The sequence below is a fragment of the Homo sapiens genome, chromosome 4 (genome assembly GCF_000001405.40).
Source record: "Homo sapiens chromosome 4, GRCh38.p14 Primary Assembly".
In the NCBI taxonomy this organism is placed as follows: Eukaryota; Metazoa; Chordata; class Mammalia; order Primates; family Hominidae; genus Homo; species Homo sapiens.
In genome coordinates, this window is record NC_000004.12 from 176305526 (window position 1) to 176332731 (window position 27206).

Sequence of the window (27206 nt, forward strand, 5' to 3'; positions counted from 1 at the left end):
TGATGGAGTGTCACCTGGTTCTGCATGTTAGTGTCCATGAGCTGTTGCTCATGTGCATTTATTTAAAACCTAGAGACGATGTATAAGATAAATCTAGTTTATAATAAAATAGCGAGATTGAATAGATCACAACTGTGTCAGCTGTGGTGAAAGCACTAGAAATTAAGTTATTTTTCTTTTCTGAATTGACAGATAATGACAATAATCACACATTATTGTTTGTATTAGATTATTCTTTCAAATATACTTAGTATTCCTTGTGTCAAAGATATTGTTTTCTTCCAAGTCATTTTGTATAAAGTAATATCCCCCTACACTCTGGCATAATAAAGCAACCAACTCATATTGCAAGTTTTTTTTCAGACAAAAAAAAAAAACAGTTAAGATATATGCAATGTTGCTATTTTATTATAAATTATATTCATCTTATTCATCATCTTTAGGTTTTAAATAGTAGCTGCACTTGTAGTTAAATGCTATTTTAATTCTCCAATGAATATCTTATATATAGAAATAAAGAATATAAAACTCTAAAAGTGCTTTTCATGCAGTTTCTCATTTATTACCCCTAATACCCCATTATCAGCTGAACTGTGTCCCCACCCCCCCAAATTCATACATTGAAGCTCTAACCCTCAGTGTGATTGTATTTGGAGTATGGCCTATAAAAAGGTAGTAAAGGTTGAGTCACAAAAGTGAGTCTTTTTTTTTTTTTCTGAGACGGAGTCTTACTCTGTCACCCAGGCTGGAATGCAGTGATGTGATCTCAGCTGACTGCAACCTCCGCCTCCCAAATTCAAGCAATTCTCCTGCCTCAGCCTCCCGAGTAGCTGGGATTACAGGCACATGCCACCAGGCCCAGCTAATTTCCGTATTTTTAGTTGAGACGGGGTTTCACCATGTTAGCCAGGCTGGTCTCGAACTGGCTGGTCTCGAACTCCTGACCTCGTGATCCACCTGCCTCGGCCTCCCAAAGTGCTGGGATTACAGGCACGAGCCACCACGCCCAGCAAGAGTGAGTCTTAATCCAGTATGACTAGTGTCCTCATAAAACAAGGAAGGGACCTAAGAGGCCTCTCTCTCCCTGAGTGCACATGGAGAAAAGGCCCTCTGAAGATTCAGTGAGAAGGCAGCCCTCCACAAACCAGGAAGAGAGGCCTCACTAGAAACCAGTCCTGAAGGCATCCTGATCTTGGACTTCTAGAAATGTGGCAAATTAATTTCTGTTGTTTAAGCCACTCAGTCTATGGTAGCTCAATTTTACAAATAAGAAAAGAGGCCAAGGAAAGGTTCAGAAACTTGCTCAAGGTCACGAAGCAGCCGGCAGATTTTCAGCAGACTGGATGGCTACAAGATCAGTCAAAATAAGTTAGAAAAGATTTGAAAAGAAGTGCCATAAGCAAGAATATTTAATACACAGAGTAGAGTTTATAATAACATAGCAAGATTGCTTACAGCCTAACTGGATTGCTGGATGAGAAATTCAGGCAGAGAGAAGCAATCTTATAGAGAACATCACGTGACTCAGAAAAGGCAGAAATAGGCTTTTATCTGTTCTTTTGAGGCTGGATAACCCTTGGGGCAATTTAGGAAGAACTTTCTAGAGGTTCACCTAGGGAAAGAAATGAAAGAGTAGCTAGATGATAAAGTTTGAGATAGTAAGATATCCGCTAATAGAAAATAAGGAAAAAGACTACTTCCCACTGTGTTTAGAATACAGTTCAAATTCCTTAACATGGACTATCTTTGTGGTATAATGCTATAATTTATTAACCAATCCAGGACATTTTTTGAAGTCAAAGGGAGTGCTATTACAATTTTTCCAGGAAAATATGGTAAAACTAGGACAGCTCTGGGCAAACATGTATATACAGTTACCTTGGCGATAAATGAAGGCCCTGCATCACCTGACCACATCTTGTTCAATTTTCCCCATTCACTGATCCTACTGACTTTCTTCCAGTTCTTTGAACATACCCACCGCTAAGCTCATTCTTGCTCAGGGACCCAACACATACTTTCAGTCTATCTTGTTCAGCTCTTCTCTCTTTGCCTGGTTAACTAATAATCTCTGTAGTGATCACACTCTGTAGGCCAGTTACACAGCAACCCTTCCCTACTTTTTTCTCAATTGTACCTGGATTTTGCCCAGCTGTCCCTCACACACCCTCTGTCACTTGAGAAACTCTGTAACTACAACCTTAGTCCGGGGAAGAATACTCACAGGAAGAAGTCGGTCAGCCGTGGCATTCCTCTGTCTGCCAACAACCTTAGTTTTCAGAGATAGGGTCTTGCTCTGTTGCTCAGGTTGGTGTACAGAGGTGCCATCATAGCTCACCGCAGCCTCAAACTCATGGGCTCAAGCGATCCTCCTGCTTCAGCCTCGGAAAGCACTGAGATTACAGGTGTGATCCACTGTACCCAGCCTTGCCTGGGCAATGACTTAAGGAAAATATATTAGTTTGGAGCTTCACATGGCAGAAAACTCTCCTAATTAGTGGTTTGAATGAAACAGAAATTCATTTCTGTCCCTCATTTAAAAGAAGTGAGGAAGGAGACAGCCGGGGGCCGGGATGGTGTTATAGCTGTCAAGCACTCAGGGTCCATATTGCCTTGTTACCTTCACATGTGGCTGTAGATCTTCAGATCATATTCACATTGCAGCAGCAGGAAGCACGAAGGGACAGGGAAGGGTACACCCCTTCCTTGTGAGAATATAGCCCAGAAATCACTTCCACTTACCTCTATTGCCAAAACAGTCAAAAGGGCACACCTGGTTCTTAGGAAAGCTGGGAAATGTAATCTTTGTTCCAGGTGGCTCTGTGCCCCACTGAAAACTTAGGATCATGGATCTTGATGCAAAACTAGCAGTCTTTCTGCCACAGTGCACCAATTAGCCCGAAGGGAAGGACTCAGTCCTAGCATACTCCTCTTTCCCTCTCCTGCTGGACATGACCAAGAAGACAAGAAATCCAAGTTGCAACTCTTTAAGTGAGAGAAAAATAAACATCTAATTTTTTTTGAGACTTCTTATAACCATAAAAAGACTCAGGCTTAAAAGGAAATTGATACTGTGGACAGCAGAGCCAAAACAAGAACCCAGGCACCTGATAATATGGTTGAGCCACTGAAACCACCAGCTCTCCATGAGTTACCGAGAGAAGAAACTTCTTTATTGCGCAGGCCACTTTGGTTCAGAGTTTCTTCTCCTTGTAGCTGAAAGCATGTTAACGAAATTCCCTACAGGTGCCCTACACACTCCATCTGTTATAATTTAACTTAGTAACCTCTTCTTTTCCTTTATAGCCTTCATTATAATTTTGAATCATTTGTTACTTGCTTGAAGTTTATGTCCTCTGCTAGGCTGTGAGCCATGACCTTTGGGTCTAGATTTGTTTTGTAATTTATTGTATACCTGGTGAATGAAACAAAATGGCTGGCACGATGCTTGGCACACAGTAGGTGTGTAAGTAAATGGTAGCTATGATAAAAATGATGTTTGACTAATAAGCCTTGCTCATTCAAAGAGATCACTTCTCCTTAAAGGTAGCATTGAAGCCACATGAAGTAATGAATGACAGTTTGGGGAGTCATTTTCTCTTTTATTCTGCAGGATTTTGTCATATACTACTCATTATTTCAACTACATCAAAGATCTATCTTATAGTTTTGGTGTGACCTCAAATTTGAATATTGGACTACTTTGAGCTATAGCTTGGTCTTAAAAGGAACGACTGCAGAGCTGAGTGCCCAGGTGACAGTCACAGCTGCAGCATCAGCGGTCATGCTGTTACTTTCACTCAGACATCACAGGAGTGGTGACTACATAAATGTGACTAGAATAGTTCTCAGTCTCTTCTGTCACACTACAATATTGAAGTGATGTCTTCCCAAACACTGGAGGCCTTGCCTTCTCATCTGCAGATGGCAATCCTATTCACGTCTAGCTTTTAGGCACACAGTTTTCTTCCTGAGGGCATGTTTCTTGATAAGTTTTCCTTTTTATACCCTCTTCCCAAAGCCCCAAAACCTGTCATTTTAATAATTTAAATAATATGTTTATATCTACAGGTAATCTCTAAAGTCTTTTATTCCACGTTGAGGTGTGCTTCTAATGTCATTTCTGTCTCATCTACTGTTTGTTTATATACCTAGGACATTAATTACAGTAATGTGCCACAAATGATGTTTCAGTCAAGGACAGACTACATATATGTAATATATAAGACTACATATATAATACTGTATTCTTACTGTACCTTTCCTATGTTTTGATATATAGATACACAAATACTTACCATTGTGTTATAGTAGCCTACAATATTGAGTACAGTCACATGCTGTACAGGTTTGTAACCTAGGAGCAATAGGCCATACCATATAGGCTAGATATGTGTTAGGCTATGCATCTGGGTTTCTGCAAGAACCCTCTATCATGTTTACACAATGATGGCATTGCCTGACAATGCAGTTGTCATAACATATCTTTGTTGCTAACCAATGCATGACTGTATTATTTATCTCAGTTCTCCATTCTATCTAAATGTGATTAATTACTACATAAGGTGCTTAGGAAAAAAAGTGTAACCATGGCATTGATCATTGGTAAAATATATAAGTCTTCACTTTCAAAAACTTTGTTCAGATTTTTTTTTAACTTTTAGCAATGGTAATACTAAATAGGTATCATTTATTGAGTCCCTACACTATTCCAGGTATTATGATAGATCGTTTATATAATGTAAGCAGAAAAAGTATGCATTTAATCAGTGGGCCAAGGGTTATACTACAAGCTGCTCTACGTTATACAGAATGAATAGTTGGAATGGTTCAATAATAGGAAATTATCTGAATTTAAAACATTTTAAATTATCATTTGCAGTTAGATGTTACTCACTGAATTATAGAGTAACTAAAAATTCATACACACACAGATCGAAAATACATTTTTAAAATTTGATAAAGTTCACAGAATAATTGGGAGGGTTAAAAGCAACTCATCTTTTTATTTATTTGAGTATTTTTTAGATTTATAAATATCCCTATTTTTAAAATTTCTGAGATTTAATTCACTCACCTCACCTAATCATGGATACTTTGTCTTAAAATGGAAATAAAAATAGGCATTTAATCTTTGCCCTCCCACCCTGGTATCTTCTCCCCCTGGTCCTCTGTTTCTCAGCTTCTGATGGTTACGACCCATGACTTCCTGACTTCTCCCTCTAACTAAAGCTTCAATTTTCTAGCTGTTTAGTCTATCCTGACTATCACAAGGCAGATATCAACAGCATCAATGCCCTTGTGCTCTAGAGTTCAGCATAATTAATTAACGATCCTTCACTGGAATCTGGGAGCCCAGCTATGACAGCTTTGCTCCTTGAGTCTCCTCAGTGAGTAGCCATGTGTGCTCATAAAGTGCAACTTTTCTTTCCCATTGCCGTCATCCCCACCTTATATTGAATTGAGAGTCTGCCATGGTCTCTACTTCTAAATTCAGCCAGATTATTCAACTTACTACCCTGGGAGTCTTGCCCCGAATACGTACTAATACCCTATACCCTCTATGGACACACATTAGCCTTCACTTGCCTAATGCCTGGATATTGTCTCTACTGTAAGTTTCTCAACACTGGTTTCTTCTCTTATGATCAGAAAACTAAGCCCAATCAGAGCATGTAATATGTCAAGGTTATGTGCCTAGAAAATGCAACTCTGGAGAAAAGATTTACTAAGAATTATTTCTCTAAGACTTAATGGAAATGGTCCAGATGTATTTCCAGATCTCCATCATCTATGTGTTTTATTCTAACAACTCTCTCCCTAAACCTTTAAATAACTTTTATATTATATAACATACAAAAAAAAGATTCTTGCCTTAAAAATATTGATTCTAGGCTTGGTAGAAGGACTGTAAGTAAACTCTAAGGTGTTAAACAGAGAAGTGCGAGTGTCATGTATGTACCTCTCTGTATTCACATTTATATCCAATGGCTCAATGAACACTGAAAATGGAGAAATGTAATTGGTGGGTTGACTAAAGGTTATTTCTTCTTTATCCCTGTTTGAGAAAATAAGGAAGAAATGATTGATTTACTGTTTTTTTTTTTCTGAGGATAATCATGTCAAGAATCATTTGGAATCACCTCCAGGAAAACTGTCACAAAACTGACCATCTTTTAAATATGGTAACTTACAGTGAAGCATGTCTCACACAAATGAATGACATAAATGCAGAAAGATATCTGCAGGGTTCACGCATAACTTACCTCAGATGCTGATTACTGCCAAAATTACAACTGCCCTGCACCACTCTTGGGCACTGAATCTTGCCTGTCTATATGACAAAATCAGTGTGCCCAAGATCATTTTCTTAGCATCTATGACCAGATTGCATGCCAGGCTATGAGTTCTTTTCTTCCCTACCCACTCCTAGAATATCATATACCTTATGATAGTCCCACAATCTGACACGTTTCAGTCACTGAAGCAGAATTTCTGCTTCAAAAATCTCAGTTTTAGTAGTATACCCACATCACTTGAATGGTACTTTTTACTTTCTTCCAATATAAGGGTTCCCAGAGTGTAATATGAGAAAAAAAAAAAAACCATATTCTCCAGCACCCACAATCTAAAATGAATGAATTCTTTTAAAACATTTTTTTTTTCCAGAATAGACCTTTCAAAGGAAACCATGAAAGATTCGGACATTTCCTTATACATTTTTTAAGTTACCAAGTGGAATAATAGAGTTGCATATGAATTTTTAACTCTGTAGGTATTCTCAGTGATAAAAACGTGTGCACGGCTCATCTAACCTTCTCTTTCATACACTGATTTTAAATTCTTTTCAGCTTTATATATATAAGTAAGGAGCATGAAAGTGGCAATAGGTCCACAGAAAGAACGGACCTCTAATAGTGGATTTTGCCTGATTTATTCCCTTTACATGGAGGTCAGATAAGCTGATGAAGACATTGAGTGCCTCAATGGTTAAGAACAAGAGGTGAAAGCATACTCCCTTGCAATTCTGGGTATATGTGTGCAAGCAGAACACTGAAAATCAAGACTGAGCAGCTATTAAATAACTCGAGATCAAAAACCTAGGGAAATGGGTCCATGTGAGTTAACATGACGGGTAGAGCCTCAGATGGTAACTGGGAACTAGAGGGCAGAAGACAAGGATTCTAAGTGTCAGGGGGAATAAAACTGAGGTACAGCACGTCAAAATGTGTGAGCAGTATGGCATCCAGAACAAAAGACTGAGATGACTCATAGGACTTAGGATAAAAAGATAATAATAATACCCCTCCCATTACAGAAAAGGATGGGGCTAAGTTTCCCTTGGCTCTGCAGAAATCCTTACGACATTCTGAATATGAAAATGTATGAAATGGGAGGTAGTCCTTGTGTTTAGGGTTCCCAAGACCAACCCACCAGCAGGGCTCACAGGATGAAATATATATATAATCATATTCACAGTTAGGGGTATTACAGTTAAAGGATATAAAACAAAATCAGCAAAGGGAAAAGGTGCATGAGGAGAAGTTTGGAAGAAACCAGGCACACACTTCCAAGAGTCCTAATGGAGTCTCACAGGATGTGCTCAGTTCCTCCAGTAACAGATTTATGTGAAGTTATCAGCCAAAAGAGCTCATTAACCAGTGCTCAAGGTTTTCATTGAGGGGTGGCAATGTAAGCACCCTCTGCCTAACACATACCAAAATTCCAGACTCCCAGAAGGAAGGCAGGTGTTTAGCATAAACCACACTGTTTCTACAAACAGTTTAGGCCATTCTTATCATTTAGGGAAAGTTTTATATCAGTGTAGGAAACTGTTTATCAGCCAAGTTATCCAACACCAGCCAAGAGCCAACCTTGCAAGCAGGTCTTTTTTAAGAACAGAAGCCTCAGGTCTGTTAACTCCTTTCTACACAGTTCCCACAATAATTTTCCCTCTTTGTTTCCTTTTCAGATATAGCTGCTTTTGTTTGCAAATGGGAATCCAGAAACTTTCCTATAATCAAAAAAACTCAAGTTAAATAATTAACTCACCATATAGGACCTTATTTATTCTAGAGCTTTAGTTGTCTTAATGTATCATAAATGGGGATTAGCCTGACTTCAAGTAGCAGGTATTTCCCTAAAGCCAGCATTTATATTGGTAGTGATTTCACAGGTCCATTAACCTCAGCTGGGACTAGTTTCTTTAGAATGAAAATGCAGTGATACAAATTACAACCTAGGTTCTCTGGTGACCAGATGTTCACGATAGCATATTAGAGATATAGTTTCAGCAGTGAGTTTGTGGGTGAGTCAGAAAAGGCCAAGAAGACAGAAAAATTTACTAGGTTCGTTAACTACGAGAATGCTACAGGCTTCACAAGGAGCCAAGCAAACTCTCTCACTTTCCTGAAAAGGATAGTTGTCCAGATAATATAAGCAGAGAAGCTGAATATTAACTGCTAAAACTGTTCAAAGAATCCCAATAACTTTTGGACGTCCTTGACTGTCTAGAGAATATGGAAGGGCTTCTTGTCCATTTTCCTTGGGAGGGTGAGGTACAGATTCTCGGAAACCAATGATCTCTGGTATGCTATCTGGTTCTGCTCTTAACGATGCACAATAAATGATTCTGACATGTGCATGTGGGCCAGGCAGCTATGAATTCATGAGCTAACTGCTCAAGCAAGCTCAGGGTCAAGTGCCTACAGGTGGGCTAGAAACATGGTTCAACAGCTAGGTTCAAATAGCAAGTCTGAGAAAGGAGGGCCTGAGATGGGAATGAAGAATTAGAGTGAAAAGCCAAGACGCAAAAGAGTGACAGTGATGGGAGAACAAAAGGAAGAGAAGCTGCTTGGAGAAATACTATCCTTAGAGGTCTGTGGCGGACAATGGGCTTTTTATAAGTTCTCCATGGTCTACTGAGTGAATAAAATAGTTCTGTTTGAAGGGATCTGAGCTGAGTAGGCAAACTTAGTATTAAAAAAAGGAAAATAAATGAAGGAAATATACTATAATAAAAATTTAAATACATTCTTACATTTTCTTATGTGCTATAGGAATCATTCTCAAAAAAGCTTTCAACAGAAATAAAATGACCTGAAAGCAATGTTTTTAAACTACCGCAACAGGCCTGAGATATCGATCCTTAGAAAAACCTGTATGCAAGGTTGGCCCTCGGCTGGTGTCTGGGAACATGGCTGGTAAACAGTTCCCCGCACTGATAGGAAACTTTCCCTAAGTGATAAGAGTGGCTCACTGTGACTAACTGTCCACGATGTGGTTTATGCCAAACATCTTCACATAATGTCCCACCTTTCCTTTTGAGAGTCTGGAATTTGGGTACCTGCTAGCCAAAAACTGGTTTTCCTTCTGAACTTTTTTTTTTTCCTCTTTAAAGAGATTCACAAACATAGCACTCCTGGAATTATCACACTGGAATAGTCTACTTACCAGCTTGACTGATTATATCTTTCGATTAACCAAGCAAGTATCTTCAAAACAACAACTATAACAAAAACCTACTGCAATAACTTCTGGCCTGGTCTACAAACTGGCAGTCGCATCCGTCTCAAAGAAATTACTTATCTACTGAGAGCCTACATGGTCATGACACTCAACTGATCTAAAATCCTCAAAAGTTCGTTATTGTCTCCTGAATTATGATCAAACTTATTAGCCTGGCACTCAAGCCTTTTACAATTTGTCCTTGGCCTACATATTCAATTTAGCTTTACACTTTACCATTTTACCCATTTACACTTTAACTGTTCGTTACCTGTGTGTGACATATATGCTTTACATGAGAATTCTTTCAAAAATATCATGATCTATGATTTCAAGGTATCTCAATTCAATAAGAATTTTTTTGACCATCTACTACGTGCAAGGCTCAGTGTCCTGGGCACTGAAAGGGATAGAAAAATGAACAAGACCTGATCCCCACTCTCTATGATGAACAACATAATTCATAGTCACTTTCTGAAAACCATTTGAGTCCTTAATGTGCTAGATCTATAACATGCTCCATTGCAGGAACTTCCCTGGGGAGCTTGGTGCTTTGTGGACTCTTTGGATATTCCCAATAACACCATATTTAATTAGAACGTTTTTATTGGCCGGGCGCAGTGGCTCATGCCCATAATCCCGGCACTTTGTGAGGCCTTGGCGGGCGGATCGGCTGAGGTCGGGAGTTCAAGACCAGCCTGGCCAACATGGTGAAACCCTGTCTCCACAAAAAATACAAAAAAATAGCTGGGCGTGGTGGCGGGCGCCTGTAATCCCAGCTACTCGGGAGGCTGAGGCAGGAGAATCACTTGAACCTGGGAGGTGGAGGTTGCAGTGAGCTGAGATCGCGCCATTGCACTCCAGCCTGGGCAACAAGAGCGAAATTCCATCTCAAAAAAAAAAAAGAAGGCTTTTATTATATCTTTCAGTTTATCCCCTTTTTAAAAAGCATTATCTGGCCATGTGCACACAGCTTTATTTAAAGATTTCCTTATAAAGTGATTTATTGTTCTTACCTCTTCTTAGCTTGGTGTTACAGAAGAATAATTATTTGCAAATATGAAGATCAAAACTTTACATTTATTCTAGGTTTCTTTCTATCCTTCAGAAATACAGTTAGGCATGTCTTTCCCAGCTGATCGCTATTTACTCAAGCGCTGACAAAGCATGCCAATCGCTCCCCCCATTACTGCCACTAGGTTCTGAGCTGAAATCATTAAAGAGTACAAGACACTTAGTTTAAAAATGCTACGTATTAATTTAAGGTCTGTAATACTATTTCAGATAAACAGCCTCAGTTTCCTTCAGTACAACCTCAGTGTTTGACTAGTAGTATTTGCATCAAAAAGCATTAAAAATAAAATAACACGTTACAATGTTGAAGACTACCATTCATAATGAAAATGTAACTATTATTAATACTTGCTTACCAAATAATATATCAACAATTTTTGTGAAGGAGAAACTATAGGAGATGTGAGAATAAACAGACAAAACACAGTATTGGAGATTTTAACAAATCTCTCAGAATCCAAGAAAATGAAGGTAACAAATATTACTACAGATGTAAAAGACATAAATAACATAATCAATAAGGCAGATCTCATAGGTATCTATCAAATTCTATATACTATTAAGAGGAAATACCTTCTTTCAAGTTGCACATTGAATTTTCACAAAAGTGACATTTTAGGCCACAAAGAAGACCTCAATAATCCAAAGAATAGAAATATACAAACAGCATTCTCTGCCTACATGATTTAAAATCAGACATTAATTTAAAGCAATCAAAAGGAAAAATGGTACTTTCTCTTGGAAATTCATAGTCAGAAATTTTAGGATACAGCTAAAGCAGTTACCATAACAATAAACATGAAAAATATACCAACTAAATATCCAATTTCCAAAGCTAATAAACAAAAAAAGTGGAATGAAAAAAGTTGATAGTGTTAAAACCAAAAATTAATGAGTTGGAAAACAGTAGAGTTAATTAGTAAATGCAGAAGTGCTTTGAAAGAAAACAAGAAAAAATACTAATTAAAACAATAAATGAAAAAGGTAGAAAGCACAAGTATACATAATTAGAATTAACAATTAATAATTTAAAAAAAATAGAAGAATAGACTCCCTTGGGAATTTCTACCAAATTTTCTATCAAATTTTTAAAGACCAGATCCAAATGCTACTTAAAATATCCCAGTGCACAGAAAACTAAGGAAAACTTATTTTCCTTGTTATATTAGAAATATATATTTTCTAATTTGAGTATAATATTACAATCAAAAAAACACATCAGTTTCACTATGAATATTGATTACACAAACTAAAAAACAAAAAACCCCAAAATTAGCAAAGAAAGCACAAGAGCATATTAAAAACTAATTCATCATGACCAGGTGGAGTTTATTCCAGGAATGCTTACTGGGCCAATATTATAAAATCTATTCATATAACCCATTAAATAAGCAGAGGAAATAAGATAGAGGAAAGAAGTAGAGGAAATAAGATAGGGAAAATGCATCTGAAAACAATTTAGCACTTGTTTATATTTTTAAAAATTTCCCAATAGGAATAGATATTTCCTATCAATATGCAATATATATTATATAATGATACATGTACACACACACACACAATTTCCATCTCAAAGCCAACATCTTACTTGATGGAGAAATGAAAGGAAATTTCCTGCTCAAATCAGGAACAAAAAGATATCAGTTGTCCCCATCTGACTGAATATCATGTTGGAAATATTAGCTACTGAAATGAATAAACAATTGGAAATATAATAATTGGAACGGAAAAGGCAAAATGATATCTAATGTAGGTGATATAAATGTCTAGAAAATCTAAAGAAACACTTGGAAAAATAAAACAGAATAAGAAAATTCCCTATCCCATCCCTCTCCTGCTCTTTTTGTGGACTTTTATGTGTTTTTAGCACTACCAGTAAGTCAAGTTAAAAACTGTGGTGTCATAATAATAATACTAGTTTCATTTGAGTGTTCACAATCTGCATTCACTCTATGCTTTGCAGACCCCCACTCTTATTTAGGCAGTTGCTAAGTAACATAGAGTTTGTTTCCGAAATGCCCCTCCTATCAGTCTTCCTTTTGGGTCCATCACTCACTCTCCACATATAACTGGTAAATGGTTGCCTGTGTAGCGATGCTTGTTTTACATGTAATTTCCCTGATATAAAGTCAACTTCTTGACCTGGTTTTCTACCATAACTTACCTTTCCAGGCTTATTTCTGCTTACTCTTTTATACATGCATTGTTTATCAGGACCAGCCTTCTGAGTATCTCTTAGATATACCTGTACTTGCAGTTCAACAACAAGAATTATTTCCCTAAAACATGCTATAATAATAATGTGTCTTGTTTAGGCTTTGTGTTAAATAATTTGCACACTGTGTTGTCCCACATTACCAGGGCTGTAATTCCTTCCTCCTTTGCTATGTAACTTCCCAGGGTATTTTTTTGTTTTACATTTCAGATTTGTTTTTATTTTATTAACTCTACCTGATTATATACTTTTGAGTGTAGAAAGTGATCAGTACAATCTCTGTATCACTTGCAGTATAGATGGCATTCAATAAAAATCCTTTTTTTTCTTTTTTTGTTAACAAACTGTGCCAGCCTGGAAGTTAAAAACTAAGATTTTAAACGCAACTAAGGATCTCTCTTTAGTCTCTATTTTATCGATTTTTCATTAGTTGGCTCTATTTGAGCAGGGAGTCTGCCTTATTAGTGCTGTATTCTCAAGGCTTAGAACTATTCCTGGTACACGGTAGGCACTTGGTAATAATCCTACCTGTATGGCTATACAAAAATTAATTGAATGGTCATGAATAATGCAAAGAAGCAAAAGCTTAACAAGAGACAACATAAGCCAGTATCAAGATCAGATGTTCACAGTTTTCTGGTTTGTTCCTGATCACATTCCAGGACAGATATTTTTGTTTGGTTTATGGACTGAAATTTTTAAAAAAAATTTATTTCAGCAGACCCTGAATCCATTTTTATAAAAACCCTTAGCTGTGAAAGGAACAAAGGTTTTGGCAGATAGTATAATCAGAGTCAGGATTGGCTCGGTTTGAACCCTAATGCCCTTCAGGATATTGAAAATGTGATAAAATAATTGCATTATTTATTAATGACCCAACGAAATTCTTATACATTATGCTGTAGAGCAATTCCGCAGCCATTATCTTCTTTGCTCCTAAGAACCCAGAAAGGTTATCCTTTTATTTATCAGAAATCACCATGTTAAAATGCAAATACTTAGGATCGGTAGCCTCAACCCTTATCTTCTAAAACATCTTTAGCTATCCATACAAAGCAAAGCATTAATAGGAATTGGACTGACGTTGGAGGTGGAAATACTGATGCACGTGACAGCTTTAAGGACTTGGGCGGCTAATTCCCCACTCCCCACTGCTCCTCAGATCCTCCAAAAAAAGCTCAAGTCCTAACTTTGACCAGGTTTGACAAAGAAGGGAGAGGACCAGGCGTTTTGTAAAGTGCTGCTTCCAAACGCCACCCGTCAGGACAGATTCTAAACCACCTTAACTTGCTGCCGGTTTCAAGTGAAAATAAATGGTACATAAGTAATCAAGAAGTCGCAGTCCCAGACCTCTGACCAAAGAACCGAAAAAGGACAGCGAACGACCGGTTCCCAATTCTCTGAACCCAAAGGTCGGAGAAGCAATTTAGAAGAGGAGGGGGTGGGTCTTCCACAACAAACCCCGCCCCTCCCTCACTCGTCGCTGATTGGTGGCGGCGTTAGGCCGCGACGGAGGGGCGGGCCCGCGGCTGAGTCTCTCCCTTTCCGCGCCGCCCCGTGCGCGCTGTGGGTGTGTTTCGGGAAGCGGGCGCGCGCGCGCTCGCGTCGGAGGACCGGAAAGGAGGCGGGGCTGCGGCGGCGCGCGCTCCCGGAACGCGCGCACCGCAGACGGCGCGGATCGCAGGGAGCCGGTCCGCCGCCGGAACGGGAGCCTGGGTGTGCGTGTGGAGTCCGGACTCGTGGGAGACGATCGCGATGAACACGGTGCTGTCGCGGGCGAACTCACTGTTCGCCTTCTCGCTGAGCGTGATGGCGGCGCTCACCTTCGGCTGCTTCATCACCACCGCCTTCAAAGACAGGAGCGTCCCGGTGCGGCTGCACGTCTCGCGGATCATGCTGTGAGTGAGGCCGGGCCGGCGGTGCAGGACGCCGGGACCGGGCTGGGGCGGAAGCCGAAGCCGGGCCGCCGCGCCGGGGCTGCCGTGCCGGGGCCGCGGGCAGGGCGTCCGGATCGCCCTCCTGAGCGGCAGTTCGCCCCCGAGGGCGGTCGTCAGGGGTGGACGTCGCAGGCTTTTCCGGCGTCCCCTCGGAACTTGCACCCCTCCACCGTAAATTCCCGGGCTTGCTCTTAAATTTTAATTTTGAGCGTTCCTCAGGTCGGTGCCTCCGCTTGCTTCCTGTTCCTCACTTCCCTCCACCCACGCCTGGCCAATGAGGGAGCAACACAACAGCAGAGCCGGCGCCGCCGCCCGCCTGGGCTGGCGCCTCCCGCGCGTCCGGTGCCGCTCGTGGTCCGCATGCGAGGCCCTCCAGGCGCTGCCGCCGCGCTCTGGGTCGGGCTTCCGTGGGGTTTCCTGGCGGCTCTGGAGGCCACAGGACGGGGTTGTCTTTGTGTCATTCATCACCCGAGTTTGCCCTGTTTGACATTCCCTTTACAGTTGTTGCCTTTGCACCTTCAGAAGGCAGTAAACAGTTGGAGCTGCTTTGAAGTTGGCCAGAGATGTTGGGCACTGAGAGAATTAAGCATCTTAGCCTTCTGATACAGCGAGATTTTTGTTTTGTTGGGTTTCTTTATTTCTTTTTCTTTTGCCAACCACTTGAAGAAGTCTGCGAAAACGCCAAAAAATGCAGTTCGAAATGACAGTGCCATTTCGCTATTGCCTATTTTGTCCTTGATTTTATTCTCTGGCACTTTTGTCTTTAATCGTCGTATTTTTCCATCTCTTGTTCTCATACCCTTCTACTCTATTTCCGTCTTACACAAGTTCTTTAACCTTAGTTTATTTCTTTGTCAGAATCGCCAAGAAGCCAGTTATCAAATAGCGAGCCTTCTCCCCCCACCTTTTTTTTTTTTTTTTAAATTACTGTACTGATGTTTGTTAGATATTGTTCGAATAGACCTGGGGTGGACATCAGCACTGCCATTGTCAGCCCTGTGAGGGTTAGAAGAGCTTGGTGCATATTAAACACTGAACAGATGTTAGCTGTTGTTGTCTTGAGCAAGTTTTCTTACCATTCTGGGCCTTAATTTCTTTTTGTTTAAGATGGAAGTAATACCTAATTTTTAGGTTGTGAGAATTATTTGAAATGTGAAAAATATTGTCAGTGGGTCTGAGCCGTAGTAAACAGTAAATAGCAGCTGGTTACAGTAGTATCCCCTTAATGGGGTAGGTATACGTTCCAAGACCCCCAGTGGATGGCTGAAACCACGGATAGCACCAAACCCTATATATACTTGGTTTTTTCCTATACCGTACATACATACCTACCTATGATAAAACTTACAAGTTAAGCACAATAAGAGATTAACAATAACATAATAGAACTGTAACAATATACTATAATAAAAGTTATGTGAATATGATCTCTTTCCCCTTCTCTCAAAATAACTTATTTTACTGGACTCACCTATTTTCACACCAGATTGACCGCGGATAATTGAAACCGGAAAGTGAAACCTCGGATAAGGGGGTGATTACTGTATCACCCTTTAATATGCCATCTGTTAGTATTCGTATCACCTTGTAGTCATGTGTAGCTTTCTTCTACCCATTCTGCAAAATTGCTTTACATCAAGTATTTACTATTCTTTTTAGCAGTTTTTATCCCCTTCTGAGTTTTGTTAGGGATTCTCTTGAGGTATATGCAATTAGCTGAAGACCTACTTTAATATTGGATTAGAATGTTTCTCCTGTTTTCACACTTACAGGTTTCTCTGGTGTTTACTCGTTTCTTTGTGGAATTGCAGTTTCACCTATGCACACACCTGTATTCTTTCTCTTTAAGAAGTTACGTGAATTGTGTATGTTCTGTTGGAAGGATGGTAAAACTTTTATCTTTATTCCTAGAAAAAATGTAGAAGATTTCACTGGACCTAGAGAAAGAAGTGATCTGGGATTTATCACATTTGATATAACTGCTGATATCCTTTAAGAAAATATTTCGTTGCGTTTTCTGTAGTTTTATAATGAGATATGTGTTGTTTAATGATTTGGGATACAGTGTGACTATCTCATTGAATCAGCCAAACCTTGGAAATTCCGCCTTTTTCATCAGTAAAATAATGTTAATACCTCCCCATGACACTTGGAGAAAACTTCATAGATTCATGAGTAGTTGTGTGAACATACTTTAAATTCTTAACCGAAACATTAAATTGATTGAAAACTACATAAGAAAGTTTGAATCTGTATTTTAGAAAGAAAAAATAAAATTAGATCATTTGGATAAGAAGGAAAAATATTACCAATGCTCAGCCTGCCTGTGAATATTTCATGTACAATTTCAAATAATATATCCATATTTTATTATAGCAGAGAGAAACATATGTTTAAAAAGTGAATTACGTGTGTTATGATTTGAAAAGGTCATATCAAAATTATTGGTAACCTGTGGTTGCTTTTTGCCGTCATAACTCTTTTTATAAGGACTTTTATAAAAGTCAGAAAATATTAACAATTATAAGAGTTTCTTTGGTGGTGATATTTAAATATTTTCTCTTGAGATTGAGTTTCTATCTTTTGACAACTCTGATCATTTTGGCCAGGCTAGTCTTTTTTAGGGTCTTTCTTAGGTTAATATCTTGGCAATGTTCTCTGCCATTTCTAGCCTGATTTCATCTGCCTTTTTAATACCCCGTGATTTAAATGGTTGTGGAGATTGAACGATCTGAACTTGTGTGAAAGTACCTGTCTGAACAGTTAAAGCTGATCATATACTTGGGGAATTTATCTAATTTGCCTTTCTATGACCATGAAATTTACTTTTAGCTTAAGTTTTGGTAATTATTGGATTTAGAAATAGGCTAAGAATTAGTTCTGTAGGTACCTTTTTAGGAAATAGAGTGTACCATCGGAAGAGTCTTATGCTGAATTTCATGTGTATTTTTAAGTCTTTGTGTAATTTTTAAAAATCTGCTTAAGGGAATTTAGGTCTACTGTGAGGGTAGTAATTTTGTGTATCCAGAGAATTATAGTGAAATTTCCTGGTATCTATGGTATTTATATATTACCAATCTCATTATTTGTAGTTTCTTCAGATTTTCTTAATGCTGCTGCTACTACTACTTGAAATTGTTGCTGTTCTTGTAAACAGCAGTCCTAGACTTAGTTCTAAAGGAGTGATTCTTAGTGGTTACACATAATTAATAATGGAATGTAACAAATGTGTTACTACCAGTGTGGAAACTCATATAGTAAAATGAGTTAACTTAACAATTAACATAATACTTAAAAATCCAAATATTAACTCCGCTTATTTCTTGGTATTGGCACCAGTCTTGTTAATTCTGGTGAAGTTCTTGTCCTCTTTGGGAGACTGAATTGAGCCACATTGGTGTCATTTGCATCTTTGAGAGACATTTTAATGTCTACTTGCATGTGACCAAAAGTGACATGTACAATTTATTATACTTGGTTAATTATTGAGCCTTGTTTATGTTTGCATATTGTTAAATTTAAATGGTGGTGATTGTTTATACTTTAGAGCTCCAGTGGAATTGTATTTGCTTGAAATATCGAGTCCTCTTTTTTTTTTTTTTAACTTAGTTGATGTTACAGAAAACCAAATTTTGGATTTGTTCTTTTCTTACTAGTCAAAGTATCTCAGCTAGTAATCCTTGGAGGAGTATGGGAGGATGCCAGTAATCTCATACTGACATTTTTTTGTTTTGGAATAAGCTGGATTTCACAATGTATTTATCTTCTGCATATTTTTATTAAATTAGTGGCACATTATGTTTCTGGGCCGCCTCTTTTCTACTTTAGTATTACTGTTATGGATAAATAACCTAAGAATAATTAAGATCTATTTAAAAGTGATATACTGCTCATAAATTTATATTTTCCTTAATTTACTTACATCTAGAGAATATATTTGATTGGAATGTTAAGCAGTTGTTTCTTTATTTATCAGCAGAATATTCAACAAAAAATAATGTAAGTATATCTAATTAGAAGTATTTTAATAGCTATTTAAAGTCTTACTCTTTACGAAAGAATACACATTTTTATATATTTAAAATATCTGACCTGAGTTACCTAGCAAAACATCACAAGCCAGTGGAGGTAGCTGTGTTATGAAAACATTTGATCTTTTGGGAGCCTTTTTGTTGTTGTTGTTGTTTGTTTGTTTGTTTTCTGTTTGTTCTATTTAGCTCTCTAGCATTGGGGTCTCCAGAATGGAGACTTGCTATATGAACAGACGTTAATGTTCATATTCAGCCCTTAAGTCAGATAGATGGGCACATGCCTTCTACAATATGCAGATATTCTGGAGGAAAGGAGGAATTCTGTAGGTCAAGAAGTTCACCATGCTACCTAGTATTTATTCATTTGCTTTCAGCATGTTGTAAAATATTGCAGTATATGCAATACATAAGTGGATTATATTATAAAATTTTAGCCAATCCTTTCAAAATGGAAAAGTGGCTTAAAAAGATTTCTGCAAAGAAATCACAGATTGAAGATAATGCTAATAATCCATGCATATGTAAACAGTAGGAAAATGGTGGAGCTCATACTTGTATTCCTCTTCTGAGCTGCTGTGTCACACTGAAGGATTAAAAAAACACAAAGACAACCTAGATAGATCTGATAACTTGGCTGAGACACTGTCAATGATATTAATTAACAATAGTAAGATCAGAAAGATATTGCTGAACTATCAACTAGGAAATGGAGTGGGTAGCCGGTAGTATTGCCACCACTCAGCTGTTTCCTTTTTTTTTTTACTTTTTTTTTTTTTTTTAAGACAGAGTCTCGTGCTTGTAGCCCGGGCTGGAGTACAGTAGCGCCGTCAATCTCAGCTCACTGCAAGCTTTGCCTCCTAGATTCAAGCAGTTCTCCTGCCTCAGCCTCCTGAGTAGCTGGGATTACAGGCGCCTGCCACCATTCCCAGCTAATTTTTGTATTTTTAGTAGAGACGGTTTCACCATGTTGGCTAGGCTGGTCTCGAACTCCTAACCTCAGGTCATCCGCATGCCTCGTCCTCCCAAAGTGCTAGGATTACAGGCATAAGCCACCGCGCCCGGCCGTTGTTTACTCTTTAAGCTAAAATATTCTCTCTCCACAGCTGCAATTAGAGAGCTGCATGGTGACCTACTTGAATCAACAAAATTTGAGACCTGTGATTATAATTCTCATTATGACTATATATAATCAAAAGCTGTAAAGATTGTTAATAATTTTCAAACCTTCTGAGATTATTTTAAAATCCATCTTAGTACCAGATACCTTTCTTTAAAAAAAAAAAAAAAAAGAACATGGTGCAAGGTGTTTTTGGTAGTCTACATTAAGCCATATAGCTACAATTAATTAATATCCTTACCTATTGAGAACAATTTGCCTTTGTTTTAGGGTTGCATGGGATTCATTAATCTGAGTATCTGAGTACTTGAACTGGTTTTTTGTTGTTGTTGTTGTTTTTATTTATTTATTTTTAACACGGAGTTTTACTCTTGTTGTCCAGGCTGGAGTACAGTAGTATGATCTCGGCTCACTGCAACCTCCACATCCTGGGTTCAAGTGATTCCCCTGCCTCAGCCCCCCAAGTAGCTGGGATTACAGGCACCCACCACCATGCTAATAACTTTCAATCATAAACTAATAGTTTTAATAGGTTTTGATATAATGGTTTAATAGCTTTTAATTATAAAACTTATTATGAATTATAATTTGTGATTTAAAAAACTAGTTCAGGCCGGGCACAGTGGCTCACACCTGTAATCCCAGCACTTTGGGAGGCTGAGGCAGGTGGACCACCTGAGGTCAGGAGTTCCAGACCAGCCTGGCCAACATGGTGAAACCCCATCTCTGCTAAAAATACAAAAAATTAGCCAGGCGTAGTGGTGCGCGCCTGTAATCCTAGCTACTTGGGAGGCTGAGGCAGGAGAATCGCATGAACCTGGGAGGTGGAGGTTGCAGTGAGCTGAGATTGTGCCATTGTACTCCACCCTGGTTGACAGAGCAAGACTCTATCTCCAAAAAAAAAAGGAAGAAATAACTGCTCTACATTTCTTTTTAGTTAATGTAGTCATCATATACTGAGTAATTGGCCTTAAAAGCGAATAGATGCTAACTTAATAAGAGCAAATTCCTTGGGATTTAGTAGTGGCCACAAATTTTTTTTATTTCCATTTCATACTTTTAATTTTCTAAATGGAACTTATTTGTAATATGTTGAAAGAGTAGCTTAAAAGAATTGTCTGACCTCTAGAATTTTGCCTTGATGAGACAACAATGCATGTATTTTCTTAATTAAAGGGAAAAAAGATCTTTAAAAGGCTTCATTTCTTTAGTGATTTCTTAAAGCTTTTGTAAAGAAATCTTGGAGAAGATTTCTTATAAATTTTCATGACATAATTAATCAGCAGTAACCTGTATTAGCAGTGTGATGGAACAGGGATTGGCTCTTGTCTGTTTTCCTGGCACCATTTAGGATCCATGCTGAGCTGGAGGGTCTTAGAAATTTTATAGGGAAAAGTGATTTAAAAGAATACTTCCCTTCTAGGGATTTAATTCATCTGTTCCTCCAAAGGCCTCACTTTTTGGAGATCTTATAGATCAAAAACCTTGCATTAAGTTATGAAGGCACTAAGTAATACAGTTGAGTTAGCAGAAGGAATGAACTCCTTCAGGGAATTGTCATTCTTCTCTCTGAGAAAAGTTTGCCCCTTTTTTGTATCTCTCTCTTTGCTATCATTTGTATGCATTAAGATTTCAGCAAGCTCCTCAAGTTGAATTCATTAACATGTCAAACTATTTGCTTACTAATACTTTTAATTTGAAGTGATAAGATGGTATTTCTGATGAGTTATCTAATTAATTTTCATTTTAATATAGGCTCTGAACCAAGTTGTCCTATGGGACAAGATTGTTTTGAGAGGTGATAATCCGAAGCTGCTGCTGAAAGATATGAAAACAAAATATTTTTTCTTTGACGATGGAAATGGTCTCAAGTGAGCAATTCTTGGTCATTTTTTTACATTTAATAAGAGGTGAAAAAGAGAGAAAGATGTATTTTTATTTTAAAGAAAAATACTTGAGAGTAAAAGGAGAAAAATTGGGAAAGAAGTATTTATGCATATCTGAACTGAAAGATTGGGTGGAAATGCAAAGTGAGATCTAAGATAAGCAATTCTCTTGCAGTTTCTGAAATGTCATAGTCAAACTAATAAAGCTTCTATCCTAAGCGTGTACAAGGAATACGGGCTTGTTCAGATGCGGTAGGGCTGTGGTGGTCAAATCAAAGGGCTCCTTTCTGAGCGTGAGTCGGGAAACCTTAGAAGCAGCATGTTGGGTCTAGGAGTTGATAATAGTTAAAAGAAGTAGTATTGGTTCTCCAAACGTGACTTCTCTAAAGCTCATTTTAGTCAGTGTGATTGATCTCTCAGGTTATTTTTACCTCTTAGACTCTAGTGGTAAACATTGGAAATAATTTTAGAAGAAAGCTATTTCGACCAAGCCAAACGTCTGTATTTGCAATGAAAATTTCAGAACATGAGAATTTTGTTAAGGTTTGTCCATCTAGATAATTGACAGAGTTAGGCTTCAAATCATTGCTCTGATTCTTAGCTCGTCTCTTTTTACATTTACTGTTTTAATCATTTAAACTTTTCGGTTGATGGTTCTAACTGCAGCTGTGAGTTTAGATGGGTCATCCTGGGATATCAGTAAATGTAGTGCCCCTGTCTTCTAGCATTGTCCTTGGATTTTAAGTGACATGAGAAAATAGTTCTTTTTGCAGATTAACATATTAGGATTTCTGTTAGGAATAGATGGTTATAAATAAAGTATTTGACATCTCAGTGTTTGTCTTAAAATTTTTTTTGAACTACTAGTGTCTCTGATGACTTGTGTTTATTATATCTTTTTATAGGGGAAACAGGAATGTCACTTTGACCCTGTCTTGGAACGTCGTACCAAATGCTGGAATTCTACCTCTTGTGACAGGATCAGGACACGTATCTGTCCCATTTCCAGATACATATGAAATAACGAAGAGTTATTAAATTATTCTGAATTTGAAACAACATATTTTTATACTTAATGAATTGTATCTCATTAATCTCTTCCCTTACATCTTCATGTATTGTTGGTTTGTTTTTTGGTTTTGGGTTTTTTTTTTTTTTTTTTTGGTATAAGAACTAACATCAAAAGGCCTGTTTAAAGGGAAAGGTTAATGGGCTACTTAATATTATGAACAAAACAAAAAAACAAGGCTGCCACAGTGGAATATTATCTTACAAGAATAAGAACTACATAAAACAGATTTGTAAAAAATACATATTTGAAGTATTCCCTGTATTTCCATTATTCTTTATGGAATATAAAGTAAGCATGAAAGGTAGTTAAAACTTTCAGGTGCCTGTAGAGTCATAATAACTGTATTTTATGCCTTGCATTCACGCAAATTCACATTGGATGTGATTTAAAAGTAGACATTCTCTTTTTCCTCTTTTAGGATATGTTTGATTACTGGAAAATTAATATGGTTATTTGTTAGAAGTCTGGTTTATAAAAAAGCCAAAAGTGATGGAATTTATTCCATTTGTCTTAGGAAGGCCCATAATACTTGTTTTTCTTACATGTGACTAGCAACTTTCTCCACTTAAAGACTAAATACCTCTTTATATGATGTAAATTATTCTAATTCATTTTAAAATCTTTTAGGTCAGCAAAATGTGTGTCTTCAGTGCTTTCTCTAAAAACGTTCCTTTATAGCTTTGTACTTTTTTTTTTAGCGTTGCCATTGAAAGTTAAAATGTTTGCATGGTTTACCCTCTGAGTTATGTTTCTTCTAGTGAGCATGCCTGCTGTCACTAAGTGAATTATTTACTACTTTTTGTAGGTCTATATTTTAATAATTATTGGGATAATAATAATTGTGGTATGCTTTCCATTTACAAACCACTCATATACTTTAGTGTATGTCATCCTCAATAATCTAATGAGGTAAGTAGTATAAGTGTTAGCTCTTTGCAGATAAGAAACTGAAACCCAGAAGTTTATTGAATTGCTTCATTGTTACCTAGCCAGCAAGGAGTGGAATTAAAACTTGAACTCAGATCTTCTAATTTTCTGAGCTCATCCTTTCTCTTATACCTCAGATTGCAGACTAATCAAATTTTACTTAAAACCTTCCTGATATTTTTGTTACCCTGGACACCCTTTCTATTCTAGAAAAGGTTTCCCATTTTATATGGAAGTGACTAATTTTCAAGCTGCCAACAACTTATATCGAGGTAATATTTTATTCTCTGAATAAATTCATTTCACTTATATTAAAAGCATAAGGAAATCTACATGTATGTAAAAATAACTTAGAAATTCAGTACATAATACATGATTGAATACATGATCGTATTTAACATGTTTTTTTTTTCTGCAGTGGACAAATAAACATCCTCAAAGTAGCAACTGCAAATCAGTTACCCTTAGAAAAGCAAGACCAAACACTGTAGTTACACTATTAGCAGTGACCAAAAAGGGCTAATATTTTCTAAGAATAGTTTAAATTACAGACATTTGTTATATTTACCTTATGTGAAATACATCACTATTTAATTACATTAATTTTAACATCTGTTGTGTGGAGTTGTATAGTTCATGCAAAAGCCTGTGGGTATGGGTTTTTCAAACCAGCAGAAAGGTCAAAGGTACCTGAATGCTAAACTGCCTGGCTCCCAGCTTTTTCATTAAACTTTTCAGGGTCTTGGTTTCTTTATCTGTAAAATGACAGAGTTGGACCAGTTAACTTTAATGGCCATCCTTTTACACCACACAAGTTGATAAAATTTATCTGTTCAGCAAAGAGATTGAACAAAAAAGCACGTTAGTAATATGAAGACAGGAAAACGAATGAAAGTCTAACACATAACTCATATTGATTTACTTTATTTCTGTTAGATTTTACACTCTGAAAATTTCACCTCATTTAGTTTGTACAAATACTAGACATGGAAACTTAAAATGTGCAGGTGTCAAAGCTTAAAAATCAGGTGTGTCCTCTTTAAAGGCATGTGCGATAAGCCTGCAGTCTTAACCAGACCTGGTACCAGTTTAACAGTTCATGATACTTCTGTGATGAGTGGATCTGTTAGTCTGGTAGAGATTAATGTTGAAATTTACTTGAATTACAGTTATTTGACAAGCCCACTTTTTTTGGAGTTTGGTGAGGAAGATAAGTAAAAATGCCCAACTAGTACAATGTGGAGAAAGTTTTCTGTTTGCTTGACTAAGGGAAATTGCTCAGAAAAAGAATGCTCCAACATGGGAATAAGGACCTTCAGTCTCAGGAACTCATTTTTGGGTGCAGTTTCTACATTTAAAAAATTGACTTGTGTTCAGTTTGATAACCAGTTCATTTGCTTTAGTCTCAGTGTTTTAAAGAAGTCTCATAATGTTCTACAAAGACACAAAGCTTCAGGCTTATACAAAACTGAGTATGATTAGAAATACCTGAGCCCAGAAATGATTCTGAGAAAAGAGAATAATTTGAAGACACTTATTTAAAAGTAATTATGGTTAGAAATGAATTAATTTAAAAATGTGTTCACATATCCCTTTCTCTAACAGTTTAACCTAGACAAACATCTGTATCAGTATTTTTTTATTCCCCTGATTGATTACATTTGGTTTCTTTATTCTGAAAGGAAAATAACAAAAACTTCAGAAATTCCTAAGGGTGTAATAAGAAAGTGGGTTTTGAGTTTCCTTTCCTGGAATTATTTTACAGTTCTTTGGTGGGTCTCGTCAGCCAATTCATAGCTGGGCTTTAAGATTATCATCTTAGAGATGATAGATGGGCTTTTTAAAGATTTCATCTTAGAGATGAAAAGCTGGGCTTTTTCTCTAAGATGATAATCTTAAAGCCCAGCTATTAATTGATAATGAACATTTTTCACTATTTTTTTTTCTATCTGAAGCTTAGAGATCTAGAGCTTTGGATCTTTCGGGTATATGTCAATGGAGGTATTATTTTATAATACTTTGCATTGACATGAAGTGGGTTCATGGGGGAAAACCATGAGCTGTGAACATTGGTAGCAAACAAGCATATATTCATTTCAAAACTTTCCTTGCTTTTAGCAGAGAGAAGCCTGTATATGTTACATGTGTGACTTTCAGTAGTTTAAAGAGATGTTTCAAAAAATTGTTGCATGTTTTTGATGCAATTTGGGAAATTGTTTACTTCACAATGTAGTCATTCATAAAAAAATTCATGAAAATACTGAACATATGTTTGAGGATTTTTCTTTTCCTTTTTAAATTTTTTTATTTTTTCTGAGACGGAGATCTGCTCTTACGCCCAGGCTAGAGTGAAGTGGCGCGATCTTGGCTTACTGCAACCTCCACCCCCCAGGTTCAAGCGATTCTCCTGCCTCAGCCTCCGGAGTAGCTGGGATTACAGGCGCCCGCCACCACGTCCGGCTAATTTTTGTATTTTCAGTAGAGACGGGGTTTTGCTATGTTGGCCAGGCTGGTCTCAAACTCCTGACCTCAAGTGATCCACCTGCCTCGGCCTCCCAAAGTGTTAGGATAACAGGTGTGAGCCACCGTGCCCGGCTGAAGATTTTTCTTAATTGCAATAAATATTCAGCATTTTTTCTAATGAAAATGAATTTTGTTTACCAGTAAAAGTATGCATTTTAAAAGACTTTCAGATTTATGCTTTTTACGTGAAGCTGCTAAACTAAAAGTAAATGGAAGAAACCAAGTCTAGTAGGTTTTTTCTTTTTTTTTGTGGGGGTGGGATGGGGGAGGTTAGTTACACTTAAAATATCTTCTCCAGAGACTGTATGCTCCTATACTAGACTGTAAGCTCTTTGAGGGCAGTCTGTCAGATTTATCTTTGTATCTTCCCCAGCGCCTAGTGTAGTGCCTTGCACATAATAGGCGCCCAATAAATATTGATGAAGAATGAAGGCGTTGTGTTTCTAATGTGACCAAACCATGGGGATTCTTTGTCATTAATACCGTCCTCCTTTGTAAGTGCTGTTTTTTTTTTTTCATTCTTGAGCTCCTAATGACATTAGATCTTATCAGGGGCAGTTGGACAGTTCAGTAAAGGTAAATGCTGCTCTTGCTCTAGTTGCTGTGACCTATGTTCTTTCTGACTTGCTAAGAGAGCCAAGTGATAGTGGCTAGTGATAAGATTGATACATAAATTGCTTTACTTTGAAATAACACTGGAAAACCCTACCGTAGACCTGATCAAGAAAAAAAAAAAAACTCAGGATGCATGTTTAAAGTATAGCTCAGGAAGAAATGGGTTAAAACAAATAGCTGACTCTTTGAAAGGCCAGGGTGTTGGCTGATCCTCCACCAGCTTCTTGGGCACATTGGCTGGTCTGGCTCACTAAGGGAACGTTTATTTACTAGTGAATTCAGACAATCAAAACAGAAATACC

General features: G+C 37.5%; 1 protein-coding gene and 1 long non-coding RNA gene across 2 annotated transcripts, besides 4 other annotated features; one reads left to right on the forward strand and one right to left on the reverse strand.

The window, feature by feature from the left end:
• Window positions 1-2432: 2432 nt before the first annotated feature.
• On the reverse strand, window positions 2433-14985 carry SPCS3-AS1 (SPCS3 antisense RNA 1). The gene is made up of 4 exons (NR_186171.1): window positions 14620-14985; window positions 5963-6058; window positions 2743-2942; window positions 2433-2442 (listed from the first exon to the last, which is right to left on the reverse strand). It is a non-coding gene; the product is annotated as an SPCS3 antisense RNA 1 (long non-coding RNA).
• Window positions 14252-14752: an enhancer, noted in NCBI's record as "H3K27ac hESC enhancer chr4:177240928-177241428 (GRCh37/hg19 assembly coordinates)". NCBI's record gives its function as "activates a minimal SCP1, AML or CMV promoter by ChIP-STARR-seq in primed H9 embryonic stem cells {active_cell/tissue: H9 hESC(primed)}" and the evidence as "EXISTENCE:reporter gene assay evidence [ECO:0000049][PMID:30033119]".
• Window positions 14441-26720, forward strand: SPCS3 (signal peptidase complex subunit 3). Its single transcript, NM_021928.4, has 5 exons — window positions 14441-14694; window positions 16645-16718; window positions 18656-18732; window positions 21637-21752; window positions 22673-26720. The coding sequence occupies exons 1-5, from the start codon at window positions 14552-14554 to the stop codon at window positions 22803-22805; spliced, it is 543 nt and encodes a 180-aa protein (NP_068747.1). The 5' UTR covers window positions 14441-14551; the 3' UTR covers window positions 22806-26720.
• Window positions 14735-14854: a silencer, noted in NCBI's record as "silent region_15815". NCBI's record gives its function as "represses an Ori minimal core promoter by ATAC-STARR-seq in GM12878 lymphoblastoid cells {active_cell/tissue: GM12878}" and the evidence as "EXISTENCE:reporter gene assay evidence [ECO:0000049][PMID:35858748]".
• Window positions 14975-15044: a silencer, noted in NCBI's record as "silent region_15816". NCBI's record gives its function as "represses an Ori minimal core promoter by ATAC-STARR-seq in GM12878 lymphoblastoid cells {active_cell/tissue: GM12878}" and the evidence as "EXISTENCE:reporter gene assay evidence [ECO:0000049][PMID:35858748]".
• Window positions 15075-15154: a silencer, noted in NCBI's record as "silent region_15817". NCBI's record gives its function as "represses an Ori minimal core promoter by ATAC-STARR-seq in GM12878 lymphoblastoid cells {active_cell/tissue: GM12878}" and the evidence as "EXISTENCE:reporter gene assay evidence [ECO:0000049][PMID:35858748]".
• Window positions 26721-27206: the final 486 nt, after the last annotated feature.